Here is a 26,797-nt window from a genome sequence, read left to right as displayed (position 1 = left end):
TAAGACGACAAACTCAACTCTTCCTTGTCATTAAATAATTTGCCAGTTATAAATGGTTTGGTAACTTTACAGAATTTAAGTACATGTAATGTTTAAATTTCCCCATTAAATGTAAGAGGCAAAGAAAATCCTTTTAAATAACTAAGCAGAGGATATGAAAGGGGAGCCAAGAATAGACAGAACTGTTACTTTTCAAAGAACCTTCGCTCTTTATTCAAACAAATATTTACACAATTGAAGGCAACGGCAAGAGAGATATAGCCATTCTGTTAAAATAGTGGGCAACTCTAACGGTTTATTTATCCCAAATCCGACAGTTCTGTTGCTAACCTACCAGGAACCAAGAATTCAAGTGTTCACAGGGCAAAAGTTTAACCTTCTGAAACTGTGGACCTCATTTAGATCTCTCCCAGCCGAATTCAAACGTTAGAATCCCAGAGACATATCTCGAACGCCCAAATTAAACCAAACTAGGAAGCTTAAAATTACACGTCCAATACTTGAAAACCTACATCTGTAACTTACACGTTCATATTACGAAGGGAAATGTGGCTGACAAATATTTACACTAAAAAGACTCCACATTTTTATGCCTCGTCTAGTTACACTCCCAGCTGTGCCTGGCTATGACTAGTTGTGCATTCTAGAGCTCTTTAGAGCTACTTCAGAGTTGCAGGATAAAGATTTCTAGGGAAGAGGGCAGGGCCAGGCGCCCGGAGGATTTCCAGCCACGGGTAGTTTACCGAGAGAAAAAGCTGCGGGCGTCGCTCCCTCTTTTACATAAGAAAGGTAAGTGAGGAACCGCGAAGCAGTTTGACTTCTCAAGCTCTTTCAAACAGGAAACCCCAACCCTGGGAGGGACAGCCTGTCAGCCTTTTAATTTCCTGGTGGTGGCGGGAGTTAGCCAGGTCCTCGGCGCTTTAATAAGTGATGACTGCTAGGGCTAAGTTATTAAGCGAACCAGCAAACGATTCAGCTGCGCCTCCGCCGCGCAGGGAGCTGGAGAAACAGAGGGTTAAAATACTCCCCAAGCCTTCCAGCTGCTATCTCTAGGGGTGCCGAGACGGCCACACTGTAAACTTTCAGTGGGGGGTCAAAGGCCAAATCGAAATCAGCCGCTTTTGGCGGTTAAAGCTCGTAGGTTCACTCTTGAAAGAAAGTGGAACTAGAAGCGCAGCTAGCCAAATATTTGCGGGGAGGGAGTCTTCTCTGAATCCCGCGCCCTACACCATCCAGCAGCGGACCTTCTCTTTCTCAGGGAGCTATCCCAAGGATCCCCATCCCTCTCTCCATGTGCATTCCAGAGTTGCTGGAAAAAGTTGCCCCCAGTTCCCCCACATTCTGCCTGTTTTCTACAATCACTCTGGAAGCATCTTCCCTACCAGACACTCCCTCCCCGGGATCCCCTCAACCGGAGATCTACCCAGCCCCCCGAGAGTCATGCACAACGGGGTTCGCCACCCCCACCCACCCAGCTGCGCAGCCTGGGCACTGCCGACCCCAGCCCGGGCTTTTGTCCCTACAGCCTGTAAAGAAGCAAAGAAACTCTGTGTCCCCGGAGCCCACTCACCGTCTCATCTTTCCTCCAAACCGCCGCTCTACGCTGGCGCCGCCGCCCTAGCGCCTAGCCTTTGCCCCCGCCCACCCTGTCTCCCTCCGTGAGCCCGCCGGCCCCTCCTGACTCGCGGTGAGCAGTCAGCGCGCCCCTCCTCGGCCCGGGCAGCCACTGCCTCCTCTCCGCCCCCAACCCTCCGCAGCGCAACCGGCGGCAACCAACTCGGCCGCGGGGGAGGCAGCGTCCCCGGGACGCACTCCTGGCACACGGAGTCGGCACCACCCCCTCCTCCCGGGCGACCACCGCCGCCTCCTCACCTGGCCATTGGTGCAGCCCGTTCCCGGCGGCGAGAGAAGGCAGGCGCGCTCCTTGCGCCACGCCACACCGTCGGGCCCCCGTCGGGTCCCCCTCGGGCCGCAATGGTGGGCTCCGCGCGGCTGGGTCCGGCACTCTTGACCCCCTTTGTAACCACCGCGGCGGGCACCCAGGGAGTTCGAGCAACGAAGTTGGTGACCTGCCCCGCTCCCAGGCAGTTTGCTGTTGGGGCTTTCACGGCTGCTGGAAGGGCATGGCTGTTTGCCCCATCACTGGGCGCCAGCTTCTCAAAGCTACGTTCGCAGCAACGCAGTAGGGACTTTCGTGGCAGGCTTTTTTTAAGAGCTGAAAGAAGGGCGGGAGGGTTTACGTCCTAGGGTGATGATTTCCTCACCAGACAGCGAAGTATCTATTGGGAAACTCCAGGTGACCGCACCTCCTTCCGACAGTTCGCCCCGGGGCAAGTTTACCAGCTGCGTCAGAAAGCAGGTTTGCAAAATCCTTGGAGAACGGCCTGAGCTAAGGACTGGGGTCAGGAGGGTTTTAAACTCATTCTGATTTTCTTGCAATCATATCTCTTGAAAGTTTTTATATTTTCCCCAATATTTTTCTGAGTTGCTATATCCAATGAAAACAATGCTGATGTAGAGGTCCACCAGCCAATGCTTTATTGGAAGTCAACGAATGAGACCGAGGGTGGCCCATAATCAATCTCGGCACGCGGGAATGTGAACCTCTTCCAAGGTCTGGGCGAGTCCCTAGAGTTACGCAGATGAAGGACATTGGCCCTCGAGAATCTCACACCAGCAAAGAAGAGCACAACGAAGCGCAAACTACTTATGATCATTGTGGCTTTGGGCAAGTTGTTGTAGCTCCCAGCAACAATTTCTTCACCTGGAGTGCAGCAATAAATGATACTGGTGCTGCAGGGCAGCTAATAAGCTTCTGAATAATATATGCAAAGTACTTGGCACCATGAGCAGAACTCAGTATACCGTCACTGAAGAAATAGCTTATTTAATGATTACACTTTTCATATGTGCAAGTAAAAGTTTGACTTTTAGGGAGAGCCTCACCTACGGAATGTCTTTTTTAAATTTCTTTTTTAATTATACTTTAAGTTCTGGGATACATGTGCAGAACGTGCAGGTTTGTTACACAGGTATACATGTGCCATGGTGGTTTGCAGCACCCATCAACCCTTCATCTAGGTTTTAAGCTCCGCATGCATTAGTTATTTGTCCTAATGCTCTCCCTCCCCTTGTCCCCCACCCCCCAACAGGCCTCAGGGTGTGATGTTCCCCTCCCTGGGTCCATATGTTCTCATTGTTCAACTCCCACTTATGATGAGAACATGCAGTGTTTGGTTTTCTGTTCCTGTGTTAGTTTGCTGAGAATGATGGTTTCCAGCATCATCCACGTCCCTGCAAAGGACATGAATTCATTCTTTTTTATGGCTGCATGGTATTCCATGGTGTATATGTGCCACATTTTCTTCATCCAGTCTATCATTGATGGGCACTTGGGTTGGTTCCAAGTCTTTGTTATTGTGAACAGTGCTGCAATAAACATACGTTTGTATGTGTCTTTATAGTAGAATGATTTATAATTCTTTGGGTATATACCCAGTAATGGGATTGCTGGGTCAAATGGTATTTCTAGTTCTAGATCCCTGAGGAATCGCCACACTGTCTTCCACAATGGTTGAACTAACTTATACTCCCACCAACAGTGTAAAAGCGTTCCCATTTCTCCACATTCTCTGCAGCGTCTGTTATTTCCTGACTTTTTAATGATTGCCATTCTAACTGGCGTGAGATGGTATCTCGTTGTGGTTTTGATTTGCATTTCTGTAATGACTAGTGATGATGAGCTTTTTTTCATATGTTTGTTAGGAATGCCGGGTTTTTTAGAGGAATTCTTTTCCCTGTCCTGAGTTTTTGCCCTGCAGAAGCATACATACACTGATCAATCCAACAGTTAAACAGTTAAGTGCTCCAGCAATGTTCTTTTCTCACCCACGTCATCTCTTTCCTCCTCTTTTTTGGATCATCCCCATAAACATACAATCATTTTATTTCCATTACCTTGGAATTTTTTTTTCTTTTCTTTTCTTTTTTTTTTTTTTGAGACAGGGCCTCACTTTGTCACCCAGGTTGGAGTGCAATGGCACAGTCATAGCTCACTGCAGCCTTAACCTCCTGGGCTCAAGTGATCCTCCCACTTCAGCCTCCTGAATAGCTGGGACCACAGGTGCAGACCACCATGCCCAGCTAATATTGAATTTTTTGCAGAGATGGGGTTTCACCACATTGCCCAGACTGTTCTTGAACTCCTGGGCTCAAGCGATCTGTCTGCCTCCGCCACCCTAAGTGTTGGGATGACAGGTGTGAGCCACTGTGCCCAGCCTCCTACTTCCCCTTTATCACTCACTTAGCCCCTGCCACAGTGGCCTCGTAGACTAGATTCCTAGGTAAATCCGTTCTATCTCAGGGCCTTTGTTCTAATTGCCCTCTCTGCCTATAATTCCCTCCTCCCAAGTATCTGCATGGTTCACTCCCTCACTTCCTTCAAGACCCTGTTCAATGTCACCGTGTTGCTCAGGCCTGCTCTGACCACTCTACTTAAAAGTTTAAAATGTGTTTTCCATACTACTTAAATTTACTTTTTGACAAAGTCACCACATTCTACTATATTGTAAAATGTACTTTTTAAATTATGTTTATTGTCTGTCTCTCCTCACTAGAATGTAAGGCAGGCAGGCAGAGAGTTTTGCCTGTTCTCTCCAGTGCTATATCCCTAGTGTGCCTACAAGGATACCGGACATGTAAATGGTGCTCAAGAATAAATGATGGCTTTGACCCAAAGCACTGTGTTGCAAACATTTCCTTGCCTCGAGCAATGCCAGAAATACACTTGACTACACAGACATCTTAGAGACAACCTTTCTCCCTTCAGGTCTAAGGAGAATGTGCACCAACACAGCACATTTAGAATGGCCATAATTAGATTGCCAATATTTATGTCTAAGAAAAAAATAGCTAAATTTATTGAGAGCAATAATTACTATTGTATACGTATCCGGTATTCTTCCAAATATAGGACAATATTAGTTGATGCGGTGAGAGTTACTGTTTGTTACTACTCCCATTTTATAAGTAAAAAAGGAATCACAGAGAAGTCAGTTGTCACTCAGGTAATAAGTTGGTAGAGGCAGAATTTGAGCACTTGTTCTTGAGTTCATTGTCTTTAATGCTACCTTCTACCTCTTTTCTAAGTATGAATGTTACTAGGGGATATTTCTGTATAATGAATAATTCCAAATTACTAGACAAAAAGTAATCCTCACTGGCCTCCCTTCACTGCCTTGTTTTATCTGCTAGCATCTCTATCTCTTAGGATAGCCAAGCTCCTAGAAGGCAAAGGGAGTCATTTTATTCATATTTGTATGAATCATACTCCAAGACTTATATATGGAAGGGACTCAAAAAGTAGTCATTGAATGTGACTTTTTCAAGTGACTAAACCCAGCAAAGTTTCCCATTCCTGATGAGTTAGAGTGGTTTTCAATAGCTTTCATAAGGCCATAGCAGCCTGAAGATAGACGAGACCACCCTGAAGGTGCAAGTCTTAAATTAGATAAATTCAGTCCAGGCTCAATGGCTCATGCCTGTAATCCCAACACCTTGGGAGCCGAGGTAGCAGGATTGCTTGAGATTAGAAGTTCCAGAGCAGCCTGGCCAACATGGCAAAACCCGTCTCTACTAAAAATACAAAAATATTAGCCGGGCATGGTGGTGCACCATCTGTAGTCCCAGCTACTCAGGAGGCTGAGGTGGGAGAATCACCTGAGAATTCGAGGCTGGGTGATCCATGATCGCACCATTGCACTCCAGCCTGGGTGGCAGAGTGAGACCTTGTCGCCAAAAAAAAAAAAAAAAAAAAAAAAGACAAATGCAGACCTCAACATCTATAGAAAGCACTCAATAAAGTGCAACTGTTATTGTTATTATTATATTACCAGACTTTCTTTTAGTAATGGTGATGGAAAGAAAGAAGAAAGAAAGGAAAGAAAAGAAGGAAGGAAGCAAAGAAGGGAGGAAGGAAGGAAGGAAAAAGAGGGAAGCGCGGGAGGGGGAGAGAGAGAAAGAAAGAAAGGAAGGAAGGAAGGAAGAAAGAGAGAGTCTTTCTACCTTTTCTATTTCCTGGGTTCTTTATAATAAAGTTTTCTGTTTAATCACAGACCAGAGTCCTGCCTGCGCTCTGCCATTCCTTATCACTAGAGATATTGTGTTGTAAACTAAACAGCAGACCTTTCTTGTTTGCCTCTCCAGGATCTGTAGTGGTTACAGTCCCTGATCTTACTTTCCTGTGTCCTTCACCCTCTCAGGTGGGGAACCTTAAAGTGTTGCACAGTGTTGAGGCTAAAGCAACTCTATCTTGGATGCTAATCTGCCATGCTGACTTTTTTTTTTCTTTTTACCCTAATTCCATGGAAGATTACCTGTTGACTTCTGATTAACCCGAGTTCTGGGAATTACTCTAAGATTTGTACTTTATCTACTGATACCTTAAATCCTGCCCCTGGGTCAAAACAACCTTGACCATAAATCCTGCCCATGGGCAGATTCACAGAGCATTCTTGCCTCTCCCCAAGGGGTCGACTTCAATTCTCCTACACATTCTTTTCCTTTAGTTTATGTGTCTTGACTCTGGGAGTGACAGCGTGGAGATGCACCATCTTTTTTCACAGCCACTGGGGACATGGCTTCTGTTCATAAGTCTCTATTAAATGTTTCTTTCTGAGAAACTGGACTTGTCAGCCTCTTTCTTTGGCTTTTCAGCTTCTGTGGTCTTTGGGAGTAGGTTTGTACATACCTGCTCACTTTGAAACACATACAGTGATATTATGAATTATTTATGTTATTCCATTTGTAATTATTTTTGCTATTGTTCTCTTTTATTAGAAAAGATCGGTTGGATTTGATTAACTTTTTATGTCCTGAATCTGTATATTTGCTCCTTTCTCTGCAATGATAGCCTAACAAATCTTTGTAGCTATTAACTCATTTCAATCTTACTGCAGTTTAACTCATGGAACAATTGTTTGTGCTGAAGTTCGCTTTAATATTATGATGATTTAATGAATCAAGAAGTTTCTACTTGCAAAGTGCAGTGGAAAAATCATTGACTGTGAAGTAAGGCAGAACTGGGTTTTAAGCCCTGATTCAGCCCCTTTGCTAGCTAATATGGTTTGGCTCTGTGTCCCAAACCAAATCTCACCTGGAATTGTAATTCTCATAATCCCCAAGTGTCAAGGGTGGGACCAGGTGGAGGTAATTGGATCTTGGGGGCAGTTTCCCCCATGCTGTTCTCATGATAGTGAGTTCTCATGAGATCTGATGGTTTTGTAAGTGTCTGGCATTTCCCCTTCTTGCATTCATTCTGTCCTGCTGCCCTGTGAAGAAAGTGTCTGCTTCTCCTTTGCCTTTTGCCATGATTGTAAGCTTCCTGAGGCCTCCCCAGCAATGTGAAACTGTGAGTCAATTAAACCTCTTTCCTTTATAAGTTACCCAGTCTCAGGTATTTCTTTATAGGAGTGTGAGAACGGACTAATACAATAGCCAAGTAATTTGAGTGCATTATTTATCTTCACTGAGAAGCAAACTTCTATTCTGAAAAGTAAGAACTATTTTTTTTTTTTTGGAGATGGAGTCTTGCTCTTGTTGCTCAGGCTGGAGTGCAATGGCACGATCTTGGCTCACAACCTCTGCCTACTGGGTTTAAGCGATTCTCCTGCTTCAGCCTCTGGAGTAGCTGGGATTACAGGCATGCACCACCATGCCTAGCTAATTTTGTATTTTTAGAAGAGATGGGATTTCACCATGTTGGTCAGGCTGGTCTTGAACTCTTGACCTCAGTTGATCCACCCACCTCGGCCTTCCAAAGTGCTGGGATTACAGGTGTGAGCCACCGCACCTGGCTGAACTCACATTTTATGAGCCAGTGTGTTAATGTAGGTACCATTCCTTGCACAGAGGACAGACAGCACAAAAAGAACACCCAGCAGAGTAGTTTCCAACCACGTTTGCCTTTCTGGAACTATTGATAATGATGTTGACCATTGAGTTATACACTGACTGTCCTATATAAGTTCAGTTCCAATTTACACACTCTTTTTAGTACTTAGATAAATTGTCTCTCTAAAAAATGAATGTACTTTCATTTCTTAGAAAAGTCATCTTCATCTATTTTCACATTGGATCTGCAACTGTTGTTAAGGGAAACTATGTAACCCACTGTTTCTCTTTGTATCCTTGTTGCCAGGAAGCCCAGAGTCAAGCTTACCATTAAATTTTTGTGTAACGGTAATAAAGACTTTGCTTTCCTCTCCTTTTTAAAATGTTGATGTATTTTTATTCCAATAACCTTATTGAATATTTGGTTTTTACTATACATTCTCTAATATATATTTAAATAGATAAAGTATAAATAACATATTAATCAAATTAATACCAGAATGTTAACCAAAACTAAAGTGAAAATAACTTTTTAACCTCCTAGGGGCATAAAAAGGGAAACACCTAATTTTTGTCTCCTCAAGTTTAATGATTATCCCCATGTGCTGGTTTATCTTTAAACAATTACAAGGTAGGTTCTCTAATTATGAGAAAAATGTAAATCTATTTGGAACATCTGATTAATTTCTGCATTAAACGTTCTCCTTCTGCCCTACCCCCAATCTTTTCTGTGAGTCTGTATTGTAATCAGGCAGGAAAAGGATGGTGTGTGTGTATGTGTGTGTGTGTGTGTGTGTGTGTGTGTCTTTTAGATTAACCTATCCCAGCTGTGTTATCTGGCTCACTTTTCTTATCACTTGAGGACCCTGAATTGGTCTACTTTGCCTGCGTAGTGGGCTTAAAACAAGGAGTTTCTCTGTATCTTATCTGCTTATCATGGAAAAAAGAAACCAACACCTTAACAGCAGTATTCCTCGATACTGAAGAGAACTCAGCTTCTCTTCTCTCTGTTGGTTTTCTTTGTTTTTCCTTTCATCTGACTTTCATCATCCCTCCAGTTATACCATACCTTGATTTCAATTTGTCCTTAATGTTATACATAAAGATAATTATATTATGTATAAAGATAATTATACATAAGGATTATTATAATATATAATCCTATGTATAATATTAATTTATGTATATATAATATATGTGTATTATATATGATCTTTACATATAACATAATTGTATATATAATATATATTTTACATATATATGGAGAGAGAGAGAGCGAGAGAGAGAGGGAGAATGCCACCTTGGGCATCTACCCAATTTGGATAGATGTCCAAATTGATGTGTCAGATATACACAGACTTCAGCACACGGGAGAATTCTGACAACTGAGAGCAGGGGCCAGGATTCAGAACATGAGGAATGTTAAAGGCAAATTTACGAAGCACCTACTCTGTTTTATACTGCCTAGCATATAACTGTAATATGATAATGTAATATATACTAAAAAACAATGATACAGAAGAGTTCAGGTGAAGGGGTATTTGTGTCCTATGAGTCCAACAGGGAAGACAACATATGTGAGTTTCATATTGAAAAAAAAAAGGTTGAGGGGCCTTCTAGGCAGAGGAAAGACCATGAGCAATGTAGGAGGACAGTAAAGCCAAGGCAGATTTGGGAAAGAGTGAGTAATACAGCCGCCTGAGCTGGGGAGGGAGGAGTAGGAGATAAGATCTAGGGTGCTGGGGCCAGATTTGAGGAAAGGGGAAAGATGGGGCTTTGAATTTTAGGCTTCGCATCGAATACCATTTTAATTATGTCATTTCCTTACTCTAAACTTGCACTGGCTTCTTGCTGCGGGACAACAGGAAGAGCCAGCGGCTATGTAGGAAGTGGAACAACATGATTATATAGGCATAGGGTGAAAAAGAAATATGAGCTCCAGCCACAACATTTAAAGACTTTAATAAAGCCGCACTCTACTTCCTGTATTAAACAAGGTGTCAGTCTCAAGTCGAGGCTGCTCAACTGAGAACTGCGTATTCATTAGGGCCACAATTAAGATATTAAATCTCTCCATCCACTCCTGACTGCCCTTTTCCTTTTTCAGAGTTATGATTACTCTGTAGTCACAGATCCTAAAATGCTCACAGAAATACACATGAGCAGGCCCATTTTGGCTGTTGGGTCACTGATGGACTAGAAATTCAGTGACAACATTCCAATTAACTGGCTGTGTCTGCAGGGGCTCAGAGCTACTTGCCAGACCATTTTTAATTTTCCACTTGATGGGGGCAATGTCATTGCTTCTCTCAGGAGAATCGCAAAGAACACTAGTAAAAACCTTTTTTTTTTTTTTTTTTTTTTAAGACAGAATCTCGCTCTGTCACCCAGGCTGGAGTGCAGTGGCGTGATCTCGGCTCACTGCAAGCTCTGCCTCATGGGTTCATGCCATTCTCCTGCCTCAGCCTCCCGAGTAGCTGGGACTACAGGTCACCACCACCACACCCAGCTAATTTTTTGTATTTTTAGTAGAGACGGGGTTTCACTGTGTTAGCCAGGTTGGTCTCCATCTCCTGACCTCGTGATCTGCCTGACTCGGCCTCCCAAAGTGCTGGGATTACAGGCGTGAGCCACCACGCCTGGCCAAAAACATTATTTTATAGCACTCAACTCTGACTGGAGATTTATGTTAGTGCTCAATAAATTCTAAATGGTTGTTTGAAGCATTTATTTCTGAGATACAGATAGTGATGTTATGACTAGTATAGTTCTTTTATTTATTTATGTATTGACTTTAAAGACAATGTCTTGTTCTCTTGCCCAGGCTGGAGTATAGTGGTGTAATCATAGATCATTGTAACTTGAAACCTGGACTCAAGCCATCCTCGTGCCTCAGCCTTCCAAGTAACTAGGACTACAAGTGCATGCCACCACACCCAGATTTTAAAATTTTTTTGTAGAGATGGGATCTTGCTACATTGCCCAGGCTGGTCTTGAGCTCCTGGGGTCAAGTGATCCTCCTGCTTCATCTTAGTATGGTTATTTTAGTCTCATTTGAATTTATGACTATCCTCAAAAACCAAGAATTTCTTTTTAAATTTTTTAAAATTTCAACAGCTTTTTAGGTACAAGTAGATTTTTTATTACACGAATGAATTATATAGTGATGAATTTTGATATTTTAGTGCACCCATCATGCAAGTAGTGTACATTTACCTAATGTGCAGTTTTTTATCCCTAGCCCTGCCCCCCTCACCTTCTCCCTTTGAGTTTCTAAAGTCCATTATGTCACTCTGTATACCTTTGTGTACCCATAGCTTAACTCCCACTTATAAGTGAGAACATACGGTTTTCAGTTTTCCACCCCTGTTATTTCACTTAGAATAATGGCCTCCAGCGGCTGGGCGCGGTGGCTTATGCCTGTAATCCTAGCACTTGGGGAGGCCGAGGTGGGTGGATCACAAGGTCAGGAGATCGAGACCATCCTGGCTAACATGGTGAAACCCTGTCTCTACTAAAAATACAAAAAATTAGCTGGGTGTGGTGGTGGGCGCCTGTAGTCCCAGCTACTCGGGAGGCTGAGGCAGGAGAATGGCGTGAACCCGGGAGGCGGAGCTTGCAGTGAGCCGAGATCGCGCCACTGCACTCTAGCCTGGGCGACAGAGCGAGACTCCGTCCCAAAAAAAAAAGAATAATGGCCTCCAGCTCCATATAAGTTGCTGGAAAAGACATTATTTCATGCTTTTTAATGGCTGAATAGTATTCCATGGTGTATCTATACCACATTTTCTTTATTCACTCATTAGTTGATAGGCACTTAGGTTGGTTCCACATCTTTGCAATTGTGAACTGCACTGCTATAAAATATATGTGCAAGTGTCTATTTTGTATAATGACAAGAACTAAGAATTTCTGAGTTACAAATATTCCTAAAGAAGATTATCAAAATTCACTTGCTGTGCTGTTCAAATGGAAAACAAAAGAAGCTCTATTTAAAAGGTCATTCTCTTAATGGTAATTTCCAGAGCTTGATTCCTACGGTATTAGTATTATATTTACAAGACTGACATAAGAATTTTCAGAACTTTGGCCTGGCACAGTGGCTCATGCCTGGAATCCCAGCGCTTTGGGAGGCCAAGGTGGAAGGATCATTTGAGCCCAGGAGTTTGAGACCAGCCTAGACAACATAGCAAAACCCCTTCTCTAAAAAATTTTTTTCAATTATCCAGGCATGGTGTCTTGGGCCTATAGTCTTACCTACTCTGGAGACTGAGGCAGGAGGATCACTTGAGCCTAAGAATTCAAGGCTGCAGTGAGCTATGATTCCATCAATGCATTCCAGCCTAGGCAATAGAGTGAGACCATATCAAAAAAACAAACAAACAAAAAAGAAACAAACTCCAGAACTTTAACATGGGTATATGGATTCACTGTATCTTCAATGTTAATATTAAAGTTAGCTTTATAAAAGGCTTGGCAACCCATCAATTCACAAGAGGAAAGTTTCATATACAGTCGGGCATTGCTTGAGGCTAGGGCTATGTTCTGAGAAATGCATTGTTAGGTAATTTTGTCATTATGCAAACATCATAGAGTCCACTTACACAAACCTAGGTGGCATAGTCTGTTACACACCCAGTCTATATGGCATAACCATAAGAATGGCATAGCCTATTCCTAGGCTACAAGCCTATATAGCACGCTACTGTACTGAATACTGTAGGCAACTGTAATATAATGGTAAATATTTGTGTATCTAAACATCTCAACACAGAAAAGGTAAGGTGTTGTGCTACTGTACCACTGTCACCAGATGATAAGACATTTTCCCACTCCATTATAATCTTGCAGGGCCACTGTTGTACATGTGGTCCCTCATTGATTGAAACATTATGCAGTGCATGACTGTATATGTCTAAAGGCAGTATTTTTCTCCCCACACCCCAAGTCTGTTGGCAGAGCTTTCTGTGGCTCTTCCTCTGTTTCTTCAACAAAAATCCCAGATAAGGTCTGAGATCCCTCAACACTTGGAGTGCTGTTTGGGGGGGTCAAAGCACCAAAGCACTTATGCTTTTTACTCCTCTAGCCTGCTGAGCATTGATGAGCAATGTAATCAAGACAAGCTCTGATGTGGTTTATTGTTTTCCTGTTGCAAAAGCTAGTTTTGTCCTGCAGAAGTTATCAAAGTGACTATCCAGGTGGAAAACTCCTTACACAGGCAGTTTTGAAGGATCCCTAGTGGCAGGTGGCGGGGGGTAACCTTACCCTTGATGAATAATTCACTGGTAATTAGTTCTCAAAGGAAAGTTTTATCTCTCATGGGCTATTAGCATTTTATGATAGATTCTCAATTACTTTGTTGAATGCTTTGATCCTACTGGAAATATCAGTCCTTTGTTTTTCATTCCAACTTCCACAATCCTCAGTACAAGAAAGAAGGAAGGTTTAGGAATGTACACGGGGGAAGGTGAGGGTCGCATACTGCCTACCTACACAGAGGTATCCTTTGGGCACAGCAGACGTAACATGTCCTAATCATTACATCATTATCACCTTCCCTCACGTGCACCCCTCAGCCCTCCTTCTTAATTGTAGTCTACAATTAAGTAAAGGACACCCTCTTAGATCCAGTCATCCAACTCCCTTATCTGGGAAACTTCTTCAGTCCCTCAAGTCCTCCTCAACCCCTATTACCAATACATTGCCAAATCATATAATTTTTACCTCTTAAATATCTGTCAATAGTACTTTTCATCCCCTTGCCTTCATTTACTACCTGGTATTTCCCCACTTTTAGAGAGAGCCAGGAATAAGTCAAGGGGAGATGGAACCTCATTAGGCCCAGGGCTAAAGGGACATTGGGTGTGCAGTAAGTAAGGCTCTCCCAAGGAAATGGAAGATGCAGAGCCTAAAGAAAAAGCTAAGATCCACATTTTGGAAAGAGGGTCTGGAAGTATCAAATCCAAGACTGTGCATTTGGCCGTGAGAGGGGATGGGGTATAGGGCAGTTGCTGAGTAATATTCAGTACTTAAAGCTTCCACTTATGGCAGGATGTGATGGCCAGGTGTGATGGGATGGGAGGATATTGGAATTGTAATAGGCTCCTAAATCAAGCCTCAATAACAGTACTTAAAATTTTAAGTTCTTTTATTAGTCTTTTTTTCCCCTAATCTCCTGCACACAATTCTAAGCTGTATGAGGACCGGGATCTTTCTATCTTGTTCATTGTCATATCTCCAGTGCGTCTCTCAGAACTTCATACATGACAGACACTATTAAATATTTGTTGAATAATTACATAAATTGGTCTTTACCGAAACTCTAATCTCATCACTCCAATGCTTAGAATTCTTCAATAACTTCTCAAAGCCTTTAGGATAAAATAAATCTGGAATCCTCAGATTAGCATGAAAACAAATAAACAAAAAAAAATGTCATTTGGTTTCTCCAGGTTATTTTCCCACCTAATAGCTTGTCATTTCCTTCCTCCTCTTCCTGCAAGGAGGGAGCATTCCAGTCACAGTAAACTGCCTGCAGTTATTCACATGAGTCACATTCATGTATCTCTTTCCTCATAATCACAATTCACCTAGCAATAGTTGCTTCAGAAATCACCCTCTCCAGAAAGTCCAAAACCATGACTGGTTTTGGTTAGATGTCAAAGTATTTCACATCGTCATATTGCAATGTTTCTGTTTTATTTTCCATGTCTGCTCGAGATAAACACTCCCTACAGATTGCAGAATTCCCAGCCAGCCCCCACAATAGAGCAACTGAGTAAGACAATTGCTTAAAATCTCTCTTTGTCTCTCCTTCTCTGTGTGTGTGTGTATGTGTGTTCTATTGGTTCTGTTTCTCTGGAGAGCCCTAACACAGGTTTTTCTATTTTAACTTCTTGTGTCTAGAACTTAGCACAATGAGTAAATGAAAAATTAAATCTAGTTTGGAATTGCCCTCCCTTAATACAAGAAGACTTTGCAGTACAGAGCTGGTCAGCTGGTCAGAAGGAAATACTAATGAGATTGGCTGAAACTAGGTAACCAAGCTTATCCCTCAGCCTTCTGGTTACTTGATCATCTGAGGCATAATAAAAAATAATGAGGAATATATACACTTTATAAGCCTATTTATTCTGTTTGAGTGCCAGGGAAACCCTTTGCAAAGATTTCATCCAGAACCACAAACCCTGTGAATTGGGAGTAGTCGTATTGGAGCCTCCTCCCTCCTCAGATATGTCAATATCAGCTACTCTGCTGGAGTCTAAAGGCTTGGTGTCTTTCTCTATACATCCCATCCCACCCTTTCTTGTGCAGGCTTTGATTTCTGAATGACTGATGAGTCACTGGGAAAGACCTCCACACCAGCTGCTTGGGTCTTCCCATCCTTCAGCATCTGGACTAAATAAAACCTCAGCATATGACTTCAGTGAAGTAAGATATGGTGGCCTGTGAACAAGCAGGTGACCAAAGTTCTGGGCAAGGATTGCCAGCCTCAGGCTCTCTTCCCCAATGATTGCTGGACTCCTGGGTATATGCTTGAAAATGCCAGCTCATTCCCAATATGTATGATGGAGTAAGAACTTGTAAATATGTACTGAAAACCTCTGACAATAAAGTTCTCACCGAAATGTTGCACATCACCAACTCCATCTTCCTTGGGCACCTCTCTCTTGGTATCCTCCTCCTCCATCAGGATCTTCTGCTGAATCTCAAAGGATAAACTGGGATCAGTGCCAGCCTGCACACAGCAAGAAAAGAGAGGTACCATGATTGGAAAGCTGAATTGACCTCTGAAAACTCAAGGTCAACAGAACTTCATCTGTTGAACTCAGATGTTTAACATCCGGGGAAACTAACTACTGCTGAAGTTGAAAAACAGACGTCCTGGATCACTCTGTTATTCCACTGCTATCTTCCCTGTAAAACAACAGAACTTCGCCACCACCAGCACCACTGACAACAAAAGCACACTTTTATCTAGAATAGACAAATCTGGCAAACAAGTAATGGACAATGCTTAAACCAAAAGAGGAACCAGTTTCTTAGCATAGTTATTTCTTCTTGGGCATGTTGCTGCTTATTTTCTATTTTTCATCCCCTGCTTTTTATTTACCAGCCACCCTGTTAGGTACTTTGTCTTTACTATTTCTTCTACTTTTTACAAATCCCATAGTTTTTTTTTTTTTTTTTTTTTTTTTTTTTTTGAGACAGAGTCTTGCTCTGTCACCCAGGCTGGAGTGCAGTGGCGTGATCTTGGCTCACTGCAACCTCCACCTCCCGGATTCAAGCAATTCTCCTGCGTCAGCCTCCTGAGTAGGTGGGATTACAGGCATGTGCCACCAGGCCTGGCTAATTTTTTTGTATTTTTAGTAGAGACGGGGTTTCACCATATTGGCCAGGCTGGTCTCGAACTCCTGACCTTGTAATCCACCCACCTCGACCTTCCAAAGTGCTGGGATTACAGGCATGAGCCACTGCTCCCGGCACAAATTCTATATTATAGGGAAAGAAACCAGTGTCCTTGTTCTCAAGAGCTTCCCAAAGAGTTCCTGACTTTAAGTCCGGATTCCTGCAGCTGACATATCTGATATTCTCTGTAGACACAGGGGAGCCCCAGGAGATAACCTGGTCCCACTATCATGTAAGTAAGGCCTCCCATTTGTTGTACACCTAGTATGCCAAATATTGTCCCACTTGATTCTCACAATGTCTCTAAGACTAAGTGCTGTCATTTTTTTCTTTAACAAATGAGGAGCCAGAGACTGAAGAGGAATAATTAGAGAGTTATCAAAAGTCACATAACCAGTGATGTACATTACCTAATAAGGGGACAATCACCATCTCCTATTCAAATGCTAAAACATACCAGGTTTTGTTTATATTGCTCTTGGTATATTAAGGAGAATGAACCTTAATGGTGGCAGAATTGGAGGTAGAAAAATAAGTTAGAGGTCTATACAATAATTCAGGGGAGAGATGCTAAGAAACTAAACTAAAGGCATTTGTGTACAATAGTGAGATGCAGACTGTATGATATACCTGAGAGGTACAACGCATCAAGCCAACATGATTTATTGATTCTAGAAGGTGTGTACAGGGGAGAGAGAGTTTGATTTGGGTAAGTGACGGATGATGGTGCCATTATCTACGAACAGAAATATTGAAAGTAGAACAGATGTGGGGTGAGGAGGGGAATTTAATTCTGGACATGTTGAATTGAAATATATCTGTAGGGCATCCAAGTGAAGTGCAGGGTAGAGAACAAGATTAGAGATGTATATTTGGAGGATGCAGATCAAGACAAGTTTGTTTTTGTTTTTTTTCAAAATGGGAGGGAGCAAGGCAAACTGTCTCATAGGCTGAGAGAGATGTTAAAGATCTAGGAAACAGAGAGATTAAGTGACAGAGGAATGTCCTGGGAGAATAGAGAGAGGATGAGGTCAAGAATCCAGCTGGAGTGTTGGTCTTGACTAGAATAAGCTCTTTTTATCTCAAGAGCATGGGTAGTGAAAGCAGGTAAGGGTAGATGCCAATGTAGGTCAACAGCTATGTGATGGGAAGGTTACAATTAGAGGATTTTTACATTACTGAGTTTTTTACGTACTGAGTTTACATACATTGTTTTTGTCTATGAAGAACAAGGCCAAGTCTTCCATTGAAAGTGTACTATTTAGGAGATAACTGTTGAAATATAAACTTCCATAAGTTATACTTAAAAGAAGCTTTAAAAACTTTTGTGCTATAAGCAATACCATCAAAAAAGTGAAATGAGAGCCCACAGAGCAGGAGAAAATGTTTGTAAATTATATATCTGATAAGGGATTTGTAGCTAGAGTATTTGTAAAACTCTTAAAATTCAAAATACTTGGCAAAGCATGGTGGCTCACTGCTGTAATCCCAACACTTTGGGAGGCTGAGGCAGGAGGATCACTTGAGCCCAGGATTTCAAGACCAGCCCAGGCAACATAGAGAGATCCTGTCTGTACCAAAGATTTTAAAAAATTAGCCAGGCATGCTGCCATGTGCCTGTGTTCCCAGCTACTTGGAGGTTGAGGCAGGAGGATGGCTTGAGCCCTGGAGTTAAGAGCTGCAGTGAGCTCTGATCATGCTACTGTGCTCCAGCCTGGGCAACAGAGCAAGACGCTGTCTAATAAAAAAATCAAAATACTCAAAGGATTTGAGTAGACATTGCTCCGAAGGAGATATACTGAACATCTTTAGCCATTTGGGAAAGGCACATCAATACCACAATATGATACCATTTCATACCCACTGGGATGGCTATAATAAAAAAGACAGATTGTAACAAGTATTGGAGAGAATGGAGAAATTGGAGCACTCATAGGGTGTTTGTGGAAATACAAAATGCCTCTTTGGATCACAATCTGCCAGTTTCTCTAAAGGTTAACAGGGCTGCCATAAAATCCAGAAATTCCACTCCTACGTATATACCCCAAAGAAATGAAAACATATGTTCTCACAAAAACTCATATGTAAATGTTCATGGTGTCGTTATTTGTAATAGCAAAAAATGGAAACAACTCAGATGTATTTCAAAAGGTGAATGGATAAAGCGTGATTTATCTATACAATGGAATATTATTCAGCAATACAAAGGAATAAAGTACTGACAATGCTTCAACATGGATGAACTTTGAAAACATGCTAAATGAAAGAAGGTAGTCACAAAAGATCACATATTACATGATTACATTTATATGAACTGTTCAGAATAGTTAAATCTATAGAGACAGAAAATAGATTTGTGGTTGCCTGGAAGTGGATGTAGGGAAGAGATGAAAGAGGAATAGAGAGTGCTGCTAATGGGTGTGGATTTTCTTTTGAGAGGAAAATATTCTAAAGTTAGCTTCTGGATGACTCTTTGAATATATTAAAAACCATTGAATTGTAAACTTTAAGTAGGTGAATTATATGGTCTGTGAGTTATATCTCAATAAAAGCTGTTTTTTAAAAAAAGAAGCTTCACAGAAGATTTTTAGGGCAGTGAAAATACTCCGTAAGATACTGTAATAGTGGATACAGGTTATTATATATTTGTCTAAACCCATAGAATGTACAATACCAAGAGTGAACCCTAATGTAAACTATGGATTTTGTGTGATGGCAATGCATCAATATATAGGTTCACCAGTTCACCAGTTGTAACACACATACCACCCTGGCGGGGATGTTAATAAGGGGAAAGGCCATGTTTGTGTGAGGATGGGGATATATGAGAAATCTCTGTACCTTCATCTCAATTTTGCTGTGAACCAAAAAATAGTCTTTAAAGAAAAAAAAGCAGAAGCTTAAAGTCTAAGGAAAAGATTGTTGATGGAGGCAAGAAGTGAACACTGCTAAAGACCAGATAATAATAATGGCCATTATATTTGAGCAGTTATAAGCCAGGTACTGTGCTAAGTGTTTTACCTACATTATCTCCTTTATAACTTCACTATAACCCTATAAGGTACTTTTCCCTAAATTTACAGAAATGCAATTAAAGCTGAGAAAAATAAAGAACTTGTCCAAAGTCAATAGTAAGAAAGATAGGAAGACAAAATGCAGACCTAGATCTGTGTGAGTCTGTTCCTTAATACATGTACTGTGCTGTCTCCCACAAGCTTTGCTTTGCTTTCTAACTCTGACTTTCTAGGTTCCGCACAAATGCCAACATCTTCAGGCCAATTTCTTTTTCCAGGGCATTCCTACAGTGCTCTAGGTCTATCAGTCTTAGAGTGGTAGACAGCATTTCTACCTCTACAGTCTAATGAAGAGTTGCAGAATCAACACATTCATAATAAAAATGTTGTGGAATAAATGTATTGATAAATGTTCACTCTCCTTAACTCCTCCACACGCAGGAGTCTTAGAAGCCCAGCTGACACCCTGTACAGAGTGATTTCCTGATGTTCAGAGCACTTACAGCCAGAGTAACTGAGAGCCCAACCCAGAGAAAACGCATCTCTTTATTCTATTTGAAGAGGTTATGAGTGAGAAGAAAAGAACAAAAGTTGATCTCAACTGTTAGATAGAGAGACAATGCCCATACTCATTCACCTGTCAAGGTGGTTCTGGAGTTCTACAATCTTGATGCAACCTTCCACCTTTCCTCACATAATAACTGCAGATATACCTAAATTAGTTCCTGGTATGTAGGAGGGGTTCAAGAAGTTTCCTCTTCCTTTTTCATTCCTTTACAGTTCCCCCCTCCTCCTACTCCTACTCAATAACCATGAAAAGCTCACTGTTTAAATTCAAACCCCTTCTCTACTAAAAATACAGCTAAAAATTAGCTGGGTGTGATGGCGGGTGCCTGTAGTCCCAGCTACTCAGGAGGCTGAGGGATGAGAATCGCTTTAACCTGGGAGGCAGAGGTTGCAGTGAGCCAAGATCACGCCATTGCACTCCAGCCTGGGCGACAGAGTGAGACTCCGTCTCAAAAATAAATACACAAAATTAATTAATTAAATAAAATTATAAATTCAAACTTCTAGTCTGGAATGGAGTAACTATAAAAGAAGAGAAAAAATACAAACCTAGCTCCCTAGATTAGCTGCCTAAACTCCTCTGTGGCCTGGTAATCATGACAAAATGGTATTGGGGACTATCTGCCTGCTGATGAAACTATGACATCTGTCCACATATGTCTTTATGCATTATTATAATGTGAGAGGCAGTAGAAGAAAAGTAGTTCTTTTTAATAAAATAGGGTATACCAGTGTTTACGTGAGCTTACATTGTGTCAGGCATTGTACTGAAGTCTGTATAGACATCTTGTCATTTTATTCTCACACAATCTTTTGAGTAGGTTCGTCTAATTGATAGGCAAGAAAATTGAGGGCAGAAGAGGAGGAATAACTTCTCTAAGGTCACCTAGTCAGTAAGAGAGGAGTCAGCAACCTCCCCTTAATTTATGTGGCCCTAAGACAGGTCTATTTCTGTGTTAGATTGTCTCTTTATCTTTTCTGTTATCATCAAGCTCCCTTTCATGGAAACTGTTCTCCTAAAAGTGGTATGGAGGAAAATGACTCTAATGTGTAAACAAGACTACAAGCCATTATCCAATATCAATGCAAAAATGCTAGAGTAAATATTAGAAAACAGAATCCAAACACCACATTAAGAAAATATACCATGACCAGGTAGGATTTATTTCTGGAATGCAAGGATGATTCAATATGAGGAAATCTATTAATTTAAATACTATATTAGTAGATATAAGAAGATTAATTGTATATTATCCTCAGTTGGGGAAAAGGCTTTTTAAAATTCTTTTAATTTTATTTTATTAAACAAATTTTTTTTGGAGACAGGGTCTCACTGTCACCCAGGCTGGAGTGCAGTGGTGCAATCATAGCTCATTGCAGCCTCAACCTCCTGGGCTCAAGCAATTCTTCTGCCTCAGTCTTCCAAGCAGGTAGGACTACAGGCATGTACCACTCTACCTGGCTAATATTTTTATTTTGATTTGTTAGAAATGGGGCCTCACTATTTTGCCTAGGTTGGTCTTAAACTCCTTGTCTCAAGCAATTCTGCTGCCTCAGCCTCCCGAAGTGCTGGGATTACAGGCATGAGCCACCACACTTGGCGCAAAAAAAAAAAAAAAAAAAAAAAAGCGGGGGTGGGGGGCTTTTAAACAAAACTCAATTCCTATTCCTGATAAAAACACTCAAGAAAATAGAAATTGAGGCATATTTTCTACACTTGATCTTAGCCATAAGGCTGAGAAATGATAATGCATATTTTTCTATACCTCGGTCCTAAAGCCGGTGTTATGTTTAGTCAGAAAATACTAGAGGTATTTCCACTGAGATTACAAAAAGGTAAGGATGCTTACTCTCTCTCCATCTATTGAACATTTTTTTCCTAGAGATTATAACCAACACAATTAAAAAAGAAAAAAATCGATTCACAGGAAATGGAAAAGAAGAAATAAAACTATTTACAGTTGATATAGTTTACCCAGAGAATCTGAGAAAATCAATGATAAACTCACAGGCCATAAAATCAACTTTATCTTTTTAAAATGCTAAAGATAATGTTAATTTTAAAATAACTTCAAATGTTAAAAGCTGCAAGAATAGCACAAAGAACATTTTTTTTCTGGAGCTACTTGAGAGTACATTGTGAACAGAGAGCGCATCACTGTTGAATAATGTGTAACTCTTCCAAGAAGGGCATTTTTCAGATAACCAATACACAAGAATCAAAATCAGGACATTGTCATTGACACTAACATTAAATTCACAAACTCTGTTCAAGTTAGTTAATTATCCCAATAATATTCTTTATAGAATGCAATCTAGGAACATGTGTTATATTTAGTTTTTCTGACTCTAATGTTTTTGTTTGTTTGTTTGTTTGTTTCAGTCTGGAAGAGCTCAGTGTGGGTGGCCTCTTGGCTAATTTATCCTCACTTGCACCCTCTCAGTACCAGGGGTAATGGAAGAGACAAAGAGGGTGACCACAATCAAACCCATCCTGCCAGACATATAAAATGAATAATTGCTTGAGTGTGTAGAGAAATCTGGAAGTGATTCTATACTTTTATCTTATTTTTACTATAAAAGTTTTGAAGCAGACTATAAAAATAGAAATATGTTAAATGATGAATATTCATTCTGCTGAATTCTTCCTAGATAGAATGTTCACAAGAAAAAAATTGTCTTATTTCCAAAATGATTCTCCTAAATTAGATTTAGAAGTGTATCTGTTCTTAGGTCAGTATATGCTCAGCACTAACTGCTCTTCAAGAAAATCTCAGAGTCTATTCTTAGATTAAATTTTAAACAGATAATACCGAGAACACAACTATCCTCATTTTGTTAGATATTAATTCTAAGCAAGTTTTAAAAAATATTCTAATCTGACTCTGCCTCAAAGTTCTGTTGGAAATTCAGATTGTCACTAATTCTGTGGGGCTGTAGTTCAAATTTCTTTATATGTAAAGCCTACAACTATTTTTTCCTAGTTATATTTTTATGGTAATCAAATTATTAGCCTTCATCCATGTTGACTGTCTGAAGGGTTCTGAAAGTATAATAGGTATATAAGTAACTTCCATGCTGTGCTGGTTTGATGAATTTCTGGGAAATCAACCCAGATACATTATTGGATTTGCTATCATTCTTGTAGAGCTGCTTTTCTGAGAACAGTTTGGAAAGGGAAAGAGGGATTGTGGGCAGGGTCAAATTCCTCTTCTAGGTTGCCAGAGGCAAGAGCGTACTGAGGAACTTTTTAAACATACAGGTTCCTGGGTAGGAGTGGTGGCAGGTGCCTATAGTCCCAGCCGATCAGGAGATAAAGGCGGGAAGACTGCTTGAGCCCAGGAGTTTGCGACAAGCCTGGGCAACATAGCGAGAACCTGTCTCTAAAACAAACATGCAAACAAATACATAAATAAAAATAAAATTACAGGTACCTTACCCGCACTCTAGACTTTCTGAATCAGAATCTGTGTTGGTAGGTTCAGTAATGTGTGTTTGTTGTTGTTGTTGTTGTTGTTGTTATTTTTGAGACAGAGTCTCCCTCTGTCACCCAGGCTGGAGTGCGGTGGGACGATCTCAGCTTACTGCAACCTCCACCTCCCGGGTTCAAGTGATTCTCATGCTGCAGTTCCCGAGTAGCTGAGATTACAGGCGTGCATCACTATGCCTGGCTAATTTTTGTATTTGTAGTAGAGAAGAGATTTTGCCATGTTGACCAGGCTGGTCTCAAACTCCTGGCTTCAAGTTATCCTCCTGCCTTGGCCTTCCACAGTCCTGAAATTACAGGTGTGAACCACCGTGCCCGGCCAGGTTCAGTAATATGTATTTGTAAGAAGTTTCCAAAGAAAGTCTTCTGTAGTAAGCTTAATACTAACCTTGATTAGCTTTGAGAAATTGTGTCCCACAGAATGTCAGTTTAACAGAATGATCCCATAAAAAAACTAAGGAGTTTTGGAAATGATGCATTCTATAGCCCCTCCTTAGCAAGCCATGGGACATATTAGTATATGCATTTAGTATAGGGTCTGAGGAAACATCTACTTAATTTTGTGTAATCCAGCATTTCTCAGATTTATTTGAGTACAGCACACACTTTTTTTGACACAACAGAAATTACTATGCACCCCAAAGAGCACGACTTTGAGAGAGATTGATATAGAACACACTCTTCTCCATGCCACCCCCTCTTTATTAATAGATCAACTGTTTGATGTTAGGCAACTCAGGAATGAATGTAACTTCAAACTTTTATAAGGAATATTGTACAAGGTTGCGTAAGAACTTCCTGCCTAGTATTCTCTGGCTCTTCCTCTGTTCATTCCTAAACTTTAGATATTTTTTAAAAACCGATAACAGTTATGGTAACAAATGTGCACTGATTTCTTACTCTATGCAGACTGTGTTCTAAGCACTTTGCAGGCATTATACCCCTTAATACACAGCCCTCTGAGGTAGTTTCATTACTATAACAATGTTATAACAGGATACTGAGGTACAGAGATATTAAACAACTAAACCTAAGAAAACTCACAGTAAGTGGTGAAGCAGGTATTACAGACACTAAATCCAGGTTCTCAGATTCAAAGTCTATAATGTTAACCACTTCATTATTCCACCTGAATAATGTAGATTTGATATGGTTTGGCTCTGTGTCCCACCCAAATCTCATCTCGAATTGTCATCCCCATGTGTCAAGGGAGGGACCTGGTGGGAGATGATTGGATCATCGGGGTGGTCCACTCTTGCTGTTCTCCTGATAGTAAGTTTTCATGAGGTCTGATGGTTTAAAAGTTTTTGGCAGTCCCCCTCACCTCCTGTCACCATGTAAGATGTGCCTTGCTTCCCCTTCACTTTTTGCCACAATTGTAAGGTCCCTGAGGCCTCCTCAGCCATGTGGAACTGTAAGTCAATTAAATCTTTTTCCTTTATAAATTGCCCAGACTCCGGTGGTTCTTTATAGCATGTGAAAATGGACTAATACGAGATTCTTTGGTAATCTTATTCAAAGCCAAAGCTTCCCTTGTTCATGGCTTCCTAAGCCCTGTCCCTAATGCTTGCTCTCTCTTCTGAGCTACAGATCTACATCCCTAACTGCTTGTTAGACACGTCAGTGAGGAGCTAGAACTGGATTCTCAAACTTAACATATCTCTGTAGAATCTCATCTTCCCTTTCCAAACTTACCCTTCCTTTTGTTTTCCCTCTTTCCAGCATTCATGAATTTCTTCATATGACAACTGTGAGCACTTACCATGCATTTGGCACTGTGCTCTGTTGGGGACTTAAAGGTGAACAGGGCTTCTTATTCCTGACTTCCGTTTGGCTCATAACTTCAGTGAACACATGCTTCATCATGGCCACTTTCTTCTCTTTCTGCATTTTGTCCTTTCAGATTAGTCTCCAGCAGCTGTTTTATTCTGTAAGTTGTTCTTAAGTCATATCATTGAAAAAGAATTTGGTTGTTGGATTATCTTTCTCTGAAAGGACATTGGCATGTCTGTAGGTGCTGTGGCAGATTGTATTACAAAAATGGCCCCACTGGCTTACATGCTCATGCCACCATGTGACATTGGCAGCCCTCCATCATGAGGTGGGGTCTACATTTCTCCCCTTGGATCTGGATGGGCCTGTAAATACTAGTGGAAGTGATGCTATGCTATGTGCTTTTCAAGGCTAAGCTCTAAAAGGCAGACAACTTCTTCCTGGCCCTTCGGAGAAGCTAGCCCTTGGAACCTAGGCCCTGAGTCGTGAGGAAGAGGAAAGACTACATGGGGTCACTATGTAAGGTGTTCCTGGTGACAGCTCCTGCTGAGGACCCAGCTGACAGCAAGCACCAACCTCCAGACAAGTGAGTAAGATTTCAGATGATTCCTAGTCCTATCCTTTTCGTGTCCCCAGCTGATGCTGAGTGAAGCAGAGACAAGATGTTCTCTCTGAACCTTAGCTAAATTGCAGAGTTGGAGCAGCATAAATACTGTCATTGTTTTAAGCCGCTGAGTTTTGGGGTGTCTGTTACACTGCAATCGACAGTGGGAACAGGTGCCTACCATTATTTTCACCAGCTATTGACAGAGGCAGAGTCACATGGCATAAAGTATAGCTACCTGGAAGGAGCTGCTGCTGGGGAAGCAGGCACCATTATTAAGTGTCAATTGTGTGCCATCCGTTTCACATTTTTAAATCTCTGTAACACTTAATAAAGTACTTTGCATGTAGTATATGTTGAATAAATATTTGCTAAATTGAGTTGAAATATGGCTTGATAGTTAAGTACATGACCTTAGCAGTCAGATATACTACACAAACCACAGCTCTAGATGCTACAGCTGTGTGATGGGAAGCAAGTTTCTTCCCCAATCCATCAGTTTCTATATTTTTATGGTAATAAAAATATCATTAAACTCTGAAACTGATATAAGGATTAAATATTTAAGGCATGTGCAAGTGCCTAAGAATGAGAGGCTCATGGTAAATCTCTCTCTCATTCTCTCTTAAATTTTGGGACAAAATGAGAAGGATTGTAGCCTGATTGTGAGGGATCTTGAAGCATAGTTAAGGTTCCTTTTTTAGGCATTAGGGACTCATGGAAAATTACAAAGGTGTGATATGCATAAGGCAAGGTTTGAGAAGATTACTATGGCAATAATGTGTAGAAAGGATATATAAAAACCAGTTCCGAAGCTAAAGTCAGTGTCCAAGAATGTTAGGGTCTAAAAAAGACTTAAAAATATAGCCAAGGGGATATCAGGTCAGGAATAAATTGCAGGATGATATTACAAAGGAAATTTCCATAGTCTTTGATTGGCTGGGTTTGAGTCTACCAAGGAAAAAGTTAAAATAAGAAAAGCAAGTCCAAAATTGGTCTCAATAATTTGGCAGCATTTATTAAAGGATCCCCTATGATTCAACAATTTCACTT

General features: G+C 41.1%; 1 protein-coding gene and 1 long non-coding RNA gene across 6 annotated transcripts in view, besides 4 other annotated features; one reads left to right on the top strand and one right to left on the bottom strand.

Annotated features, from left to right (window-relative positions):
- PHLDB2 (pleckstrin homology like domain family B member 2) overlaps positions 1–26,797 on the bottom strand; it is a 244,022-nt gene that overhangs the window by 115,069 nt on the left and 102,156 nt on the right. The window contains exon 2 of one of the 4 annotated variants that reach the window (NM_001134437.2): positions 15,514–15,628. In NM_001134437.2, coding sequence (NP_001127909.1) covers positions 15,514–15,580 — 67 coding nt within the window. In that variant the 5' untranslated portion in view covers positions 15,581–15,628. Of the gene's footprint in view, positions 1–1,570; positions 1,623–1,872; positions 2,270–15,513; positions 15,629–26,797 lie in introns of those variants that run through there. The other 3 variants (NM_145753.2, NM_001134438.2, NM_001134439.2) reach the window with 3 other exon arrangements.
- The window catches only part of LOC105374040 (uncharacterized), a 61,639-nt gene continuing 35,474 nt past the window's right edge, over positions 633–26,797 (top strand). For both annotated transcript variants that reach the window (XR_924333.4, XR_001740850.3), the window contains exons 1-2: positions 633–789; positions 25,551–25,726. This is a non-coding gene — a long non-coding RNA (uncharacterized LOC105374040). The remainder of the gene's footprint in view (positions 790–25,550; positions 25,727–26,797) is intronic.
- Positions 751–860: an enhancer, noted in NCBI's record as "active region_20226". NCBI's record gives its function as "activates an Ori minimal core promoter by ATAC-STARR-seq in GM12878 lymphoblastoid cells {active_cell/tissue: GM12878}" and the evidence as "EXISTENCE:reporter gene assay evidence [ECO:0000049][PMID:35858748]".
- Positions 1,191–1,775: an enhancer, noted in NCBI's record as "H3K27ac hESC enhancer chr3:111578521-111579105 (GRCh37/hg19 assembly coordinates)". NCBI's record gives its function as "activates a minimal SCP1, AML or CMV promoter by ChIP-STARR-seq in naive H9 embryonic stem cells {active_cell/tissue: H9 hESC(naive)}" and the evidence as "EXISTENCE:reporter gene assay evidence [ECO:0000049][PMID:30033119]".
- Positions 1,667–1,726: a silencer, noted in NCBI's record as "silent region_14599". NCBI's record gives its function as "represses an Ori minimal core promoter by ATAC-STARR-seq in GM12878 lymphoblastoid cells {active_cell/tissue: GM12878}" and the evidence as "EXISTENCE:reporter gene assay evidence [ECO:0000049][PMID:35858748]".
- Positions 1,776–2,362: an enhancer, noted in NCBI's record as "H3K27ac hESC enhancer chr3:111577934-111578520 (GRCh37/hg19 assembly coordinates)". NCBI's record gives its function as "activates a minimal SCP1, AML or CMV promoter by ChIP-STARR-seq in naive and primed H9 embryonic stem cells {active_cell/tissue: H9 hESC(naive and primed)}" and the evidence as "EXISTENCE:reporter gene assay evidence [ECO:0000049][PMID:30033119]".

Source organism: Homo sapiens, chromosome 3 (assembly GCF_000001405.40).
Source record: "Homo sapiens chromosome 3, GRCh38.p14 Primary Assembly".
NCBI classification, from domain to species: Eukaryota; Metazoa; Chordata; class Mammalia; order Primates; family Hominidae; genus Homo; species Homo sapiens.
This window is presented reverse-complemented; position numbering and strand designations above follow the sequence as displayed.